We start from the raw sequence: 7,162 nt of genomic DNA on the forward strand, positions 1-7,162 counted from the left end.
GCCTCAGCCTCCCAAGTAGCTGGGATTATAGGTGCCCGCCACCATGCCCAACTAATTTTTGTGTTTTTAGTAGAGATGAGGTTTCGCCATGTTGGCCAGGCTGGTCTCGAACTCCTGGCCTCAAGTGATCCGCCCGCCTCAGCCTCCCAATGTGCTGGGATTACAGGTGTGAGCCATCATGCCCAGCCAAATTTTCCCTTTTTATAAGGACACCAGTCATGTTGGTTTAGGGCCTGCCCCAATGATCTCATGTTAGCTTGATTGCCCCTGTAAAGACCCTATCTGAAAATAAGATCATGTTCTGAGGTACTGGAGGTTAGGACTCCAACATTTCTTTTGGCAGGGGACACAATTATACTCATAACAATACCTGTCATATTGAGTGAGCAGATTGTTCACTGTCTGCCTCTCATTTCTTTTTTTGAAACAGAGTCTCTGTCTCCCAGGCTGGAGTGCAATGGCGCAATCTCGGCTCATTGCAACCTCAGCCTCCCGGGTTCAAGTGATTCTCCTGCTTCAGCCTCCCGAGTAGCTGGGATTGCAGGCGTGTGCCACCAAGCCCGGCTAATTTTCGTATTTTTAATAGAGACGGGGGTCTCATCATATTGGCCAGCCTGGTCTTGAACTCCTGATCTCAGGTGATCCAACTGCCTTGGCCTCCCAAAGTGTTGGGATTACCGGTGTGAGCCACCGTGCCCGGCCTCTGCCTCTCATTTCTCATCTCTTGGTCTTGTTCTGTGCCCAAAGAGGCTAACCTCTACAAATGACATTAATGGATCCCTCTGGCATCCAGTTGTGTTGGGCTTCTAGGAAGCACTAACCGACCAGAGGTCAGAAGGAGAGAGAAATTTGGTATTTATTTGCATCCTTTCAGCCCCTGCTTGGTGCTTCAGATCTAGAGGTAATAAGGGTTTCCCACTGTTACTAGGCTCTGAAGATTCCAATATCTCTTTTTGGTTCTCTTTAACCCTACTCACACCTTCGAAGCAGTCTATTTATTAAATGCCCTTCAGCTAAGTCCTTTGGTGTGACATCAATTCCTGGGAGGACCCTAATACTTTGACATACAACAAATTTTATGTAGTTGGCAGCTATGTGTTAAAAAATATATCCCAAGCCGGGCACAGTGGCTCACCCCTGTAATCCCAGCACTTTGGGAGGCCGAGACAGGCGGATCACGAGGTCAGGAGATCGAGACCACCCTGGCTAACACGGTGAAACCCTGTCTCTACTAAAAAATACAAAAAATTAGTCAGGCGTGTTGGCGGGCGCCTGTAGTCCCAGCTACTCAGGAGGCTGAGACAGGAGAATGGCGTGAACCCGGAAGGCAGAACTTGCAGTGAGCCGAGATCGTGTCACTGCACTCCAGCCTGGGGGACAGAGCAAGACTCCGTCTCAAAAAAAAAAAAATATATATATATATATATATATATATATATATATCCCAAACATTGCAAATAAGGCAAAGGGAAGGAGGCATGTCCTTTCAATGTCATACTGGGAACATTAGATAACAGAATTATTTAATTCTTTAGAAGACTGTATCCGTGTTTGACTTTGCTATTTACTTTTTGATTAGAGCTCAGACACTGTAAAGTTATATGTTAACTTGTAGATAATTTCTCTCCGGTAGAAAAGATAACCCCAAAGGTTATGGTTTTATTGCTGTATGACTCATTAATCAGTTTTGTATTTTACCTAGCCCCTTATTCGAACACTCTTTTCTATTAATACCTATAAGTAGCCAGTTCATTAAATGCTCTTTGAACCAGCTTTATCATGTCACTGATGCCCTCACTAATAAATTGAAGAAATCTTTTATATATGTTTATTCCATATTTAGATGAGTTTTGATTTTCGTTTTCTGAAAATTGTTTTGACATACTTCACACAGTTTTACATTATATGTTTTACACCTACCATATCAGCAACTAATTCCACTCAACCATTCCCCAAATGTTGGGGATTTAGGTGGTTTCCAGTCTTTAACTATTATAAACAAGCTTTGCTGGTCATATTCACTTTTAATTGGATTTCCCATTCAGGTAAATGTCAATGGGAAGGAGAATGGTATAAAAGTTTGCATTGGGCCTTCAACTCCTATGTTCACGATGGTCCTGACCCGCCTTTCTTCCGTGCTCTACCTTCATCCATTCCACTGCACCCCCACCACAGTCACCAAGATGTCCTTGTGGGACTTATAGCCAGCTTGAGGCATAGTGATCATGCCTGAGCATGCTCTTTTTTGTTGTTTTTTGGTTTTTTGTTTTTGAGACAGAATCTCGCTCTGCCGCCGAGCCTGGAGTGCAGCGGCACGATCTTGGTTCACTGCAACCTCCACCTCCTTGTTTCAAGCGATTCTCCTGCCTCAGCCTCCTGAGTAGCTGGGATTACAGGTGTGCATCACCATGCCTGGCCTTCCGGTGGCTATTATTCCACACTCTATGTCCATGCTGAGCACACCCTTTGCTAACAATAGCACCTGTACTCCGTCTTTGCTATATACAGACACTGCTGAGTGCCTGATATGCATGATCTCTTTGGGTCTTCATGACTACTAGTCAGCCAAGCCCTGTTATTATCTCCCTTTTCTCTCTATGAGGAGGCTAAGTTGGGATTTAAACCCAGGTCTGATCATAAAGTCTATGCTCTTAAGCACTGAGACAGAAATTGACTAGATATGTATTGCATACCTGGGTGAATGAATAAATGAATGATCAAAACCCTCCTGAGAGGGCTCAGCTGGGGGACCAAGGTAACAGAATCACACAAACTGGGCACAGTCCTGGCTGGGGCTGCCTTCTCAGGCTTCTTTTTGGCTCCTCTATTTACAGACCTCTACATGTTCTGCTGACCTGTCTTCTAGCTCAGGGGCTGGCAAACTTTTTCTCCAAAGGGCCTGATAGTCAATATTTTAGGCTTTGTAGGCCAAACATAGTCTCTGTACATATTTTTTAACCCTTTAAAAATGTGGGTCAAGGATGGACACGTGGCTCACGCCTGTAATCCCAGCACTTTGAGAGGCCAAGGTGGGCAGATCACTTGAGGTCAGGAGTTCGAAACCAGCCTGGCCAATATGGTGAAGCCCTATCTCTACTAAAAATACAAAAATTAGCTGGGCATGGTGGTGGGTGGTGGTGGGCGCCTGTAATCCTAGCTACTTGGAAGGCTGAAGCAGGAGAATCTGTTGAACCCAAGAGGCGGAGGTTGCAGTCAGTCGAGAATCTCCACTGCACTCCAGCCTGGGTGACAGAGCAAGACTCTGTCTCAAAAAATTAAATTAAATTAAAATTAAAATGTGGACCAGATGCGGTGGCTCACGCCTATAATCCCAGCACTTTGGGAGGCCGAGGCGGCCAGATCATGAGGTCAGGAGTTCAAGACCAGCCTGGCCAACATGGTGAAACCCCGTCTCTACTAAAAATACAAAAATCAGCTGGGCTTGGTGGCAGGCGCCTGTAATCCCAGCTACTCGGGTGGCTGAGGCAGGAGAATCTCTTGAATCTCTTTGGGAGGCAGAGGTTGCAGTGAGTCGAGATCTGCCACTGCGCTTCAGCCTGGGTGACAGAGCGAGGCTCTGTCTCAAAAAATAAAATAAAATAAAAACCAAAATGTCCAGCCTGGCCAATAGAGTGAAACCCCATCTCTACGAAATATACAAAAATTAGCCAGGCGTACTGGCAGGTGCCTGCAATACCAGCTACTCGGGAGGCTGAGGCAGGAGAATCACTTGAACCCAGGAGGCGGAGGTTGCAGTGAGCCAAGATCACGCCATTGCACTCCAGCCCAGGCAACATTGTGAGAGTCCATCTAAATAAATAAATAAATAATAAAATTAAAATGTGGGTCAGACAAAAACAGGCCATGAGGCCAGGCGCGGCAGCTCACACCTGTAATCCCAGCACTTTGGGAGGCCGAGGCAGGCGGATCATGAGGTCAGGAGTTCAAGACCAGCCTGGCCAACATAGTGAAACCCTGTCTCTACTAAAAATACAAAAATTAACCGGGTGTGGTAGCGCGCGCCTGTAGTCCCAGCTACTTGGAGGGCTGAGGCAGGAGAATCGCTTGAACCCAGGAGGCGGAGGTTGCAGTGAGCCGAGATGGTGCCACTGCACTCCAGCCTAGGCGACACAGCGAGACTCTCTCAAAAATAAATAAATAAATAAAACAGGCCATGAGACAAATTTGGCCCATAGGTGTTAGTTTACTGATCCTTTCCAGTTTACTGATTCTCCCCGCAGATTTGACTAATCTACTATTAAATCCAGCCACTGCATTCTTAATTTTGGTTATTGTATTTTTTCGGTTCCACAATTTTTATTTTTATTTTTCATTTTTCCTGAGACAGAGTTTCGTTCAATAGAGCTAATAGCCCAGCGGAGTGCAGTGGTGCAATCTCGGCTCAGTGCAGCATTGACTTCTCCAGTTCAAGCGATCCTTCTTCTTCCACCTCCCAAGTAGCCGGGACTATGGGCACATGCCACCACACCTGGTTAATCATTTTTAAATTTTTAGCAGACACAAAGTCTTGCTATGTTGCCCAGGCTGGTCTCAAACTACTGGGCTCAAGTGATCCTCACACCTCAGCCTATTTGGTTCTTTTTAATAGCTGCCAGTTTCCTCCCAAAATCCATAATTCTTCCTTTTATCACCATGAACATAGGAAGAATAATTAAAATATGCGTCTCATAATTCTAATATTTGTAGCCAGTGTGAGTCTTTTTCTATTTTCTATAACTTCTGCTGTTTTTTTATTTATGGCATCTTTCCTTCTATTGTGTCTCATTATTTCTCATTGGATGCTGGACGTTGTATTTGCAAATTTGTAGAAGTAATTTGATGCATGAGTGTTCTCTTCCTCCAGAGATTCATGCTTGCTTCAGTATGGTATCTGGGCATGCCAGCAGTTTGGAAAGTACAAGCAACACTAACACACTGGGATTTGCTTAATCCAAGTTCAGTGATTGAGATGATTACAGGCTGAGCTGTAGCCCCTTGGGAGAATCTATTTCTGGTTATAAGATGTAGATCTTGGCCGGGCGCGGTGGCTCAGGCCTGTAATCCCAGCACTTTGGGAGGCCGAGGCGGGTGGATCACGAGGTCAGGAGATGGAGACCATCCTGGCTAACACGGTGAAACCCCGTCTCTACTAAAAATACAAAAACTTAGCCGGGCGTGGTGGTGGGCGCCTGTAGTCCCAGCTGCTCGGGAGGCTGAGGCAGGAGAATGGTGTGAACCCGGGAGGCGGAGCTTGCAGTGAACCGAGATCGCGCCACTGCACTCCAGCCTGGGCGACAGAGCGAGACTCCGTCTCAAAAAAAAAAAAAAAAAAAAAAAAAAGATGTAGATCTTTGGGGTAAAGACTCAAGCCTCCCCTATTTCCTGGACAGGTTCCTTAGCGTGGCCAGCCTGTGAAAAGCGCTACTCGGCCTTTGCACTTCTCAGCTTCTCTGCTGGAATTAGGATAAATGCCCAAGCAAAAAGCAACTTCCTGGGCTTCCTTCTTCTCCTAGATCCTGGGCAGGAAGATCTAGTTAGCTCTCGAATGTCTTCACACAGACTTTGTCTATTTTAGCCAACTTTTCTACTTGTACTAAAGTCATGTACTTGGGCCAAATCACCTAGTCCACCATTCCAGAAGTGGGGGTCCAAAGATAGATTCTCTATGCAAAGGAAACTGGACCTTATCATTGAAAGAGATATTTGAAAAGAGGCTTATATTGTCCTTCAAAAATCCCAAATGAGATAGATCATGCAAACAAAGAAAACCCACCAACACATGCTTGTTATTTTGGTTTAAATTTCCTACTATATTTCAATATACAACAATTGCTAGAATCTTTTAAAAAAAACATTTCTAGGTTACTATTAATTATCTATCTTGTAATATACTCTAAAATCAACAAAATTCACTGCATAATTTGAGGTCCTTGCAGAAAAATTAAACAAAACAAATGAAAATACATTCCTTTGTGAAACCTAATTTTGAACTACAATTTCAACAGATTCTTGAATTTTAAAATATTAAAGATTCTTGATTTAAAAAAAAAAAGGATTCCATATTAAAGACCATTTTTGTCTGCTCCACCAAATAAAGGCTATTCATGTATTCTCTGGCCTTGCTATACTGCCTGGGCAGATTTTGCTTCATAAAGTCCTTTTCTCTGTGCACAAGTAAAGTGGGCTGTTCTAAGGATATAACAAGACATTTTTTTAAATGTTATACTCTATTTTTTTCTTTTCTTTCTTTTTTGAGACAGACTCTCACTCTGGTACCCAGGCTGGAGTGCAGTGGCATGATCTTGGCTCACTGCAACTTCCAACTCCTGGGTTTGAGTGATTCTCCAGCCTCAGCCTCCCAAGTAGCTGGGATCACAGGCGTGTGCCACCACGCCTGGCTAATTTTGTCTTTTTAGTAGAGACAGGGTTTCTCCATGTCGGTCAGGCTGGTCTCGAACTCCTTACCTCAGAGGATCCACCTGCCTCGGCCTCCCAAAGCACTGGGATTACAGGCGTGAGCCACTGTGCCTGGCCAAAATGTTATACTCTCTAATGTTACTGGGAGAAAAAAAGAAACACTTACCTTCACTCCCAAATCCAGGTGAGGCCCTGATTAGGGAGCAGTGTTTACCATACAGTTCTTGGGCACTCTCCAGCAAGGGCACCCCCAGGACATGGGAAGGAAGCCACACAGTTTTGGCCCAGCAACTGTTTACTCTGCCCGCTACCCTGCAGTTTTCTCTTTGAGGAAGACATAACAACTGCGGCTTTCATCATCATTGGCTGAAAGAAAATCTCTTTGTTTACAAAAATAAAGGCTAAGATAGAAGCTGTTACTTAAGGTCAGTGACCTCTTTCTCCTGGCCTAGCTCAATGATTGGAAGGAGGATTATGGAGGGCAAACCATGCCAATCTTCAGGGGAACAATTTCCAGTCCTGTGACCATCACCTGTCTGCCCTCATCTCCACTACCTATTGTCTCTGAATATGATGTACTGGCCAAAGTGGGTGAGTATGGCTATTGCCAGGTAGCTGAATTTTTTTTTTTTTTTTTGAGACGGAGTTTTGCTCTTGTTGTCCAGGCTGGAGTACAATGGCACGATCTCGGCTCACCACAACCTCCGCCTCCCGGGTTCAAGCAATTCTCCTGCCTCAGCCTCCC

The 7,162-nt window shown here is 44.9% G+C and overlaps 1 annotated feature.

The window, feature by feature from the left end:
- Positions 349–526: a silencer, noted in NCBI's record as "fragment chrX:44551446-44551623 (GRCh37/hg19 assembly coordinates)". NCBI's record gives its function as "represses an EF-1alpha promoter that drives an FKBP-Casp9 reporter gene in an ReSE screen in phorbol 12-myristate 13-acetate-treated (for megakaryocytic differentiation) K562 erythroleukemia cells {active_cell/tissue: K562(+PMA)}" and the evidence as "EXISTENCE:reporter gene assay evidence [ECO:0000049][PMID:32094911]".

The sequence above is a fragment of the Homo sapiens genome, chromosome X (assembly GCF_000001405.40).
Source record: "Homo sapiens chromosome X, GRCh38.p14 Primary Assembly".
NCBI lineage: Eukaryota > Metazoa > Chordata > Mammalia > Primates > Hominidae > Homo > Homo sapiens.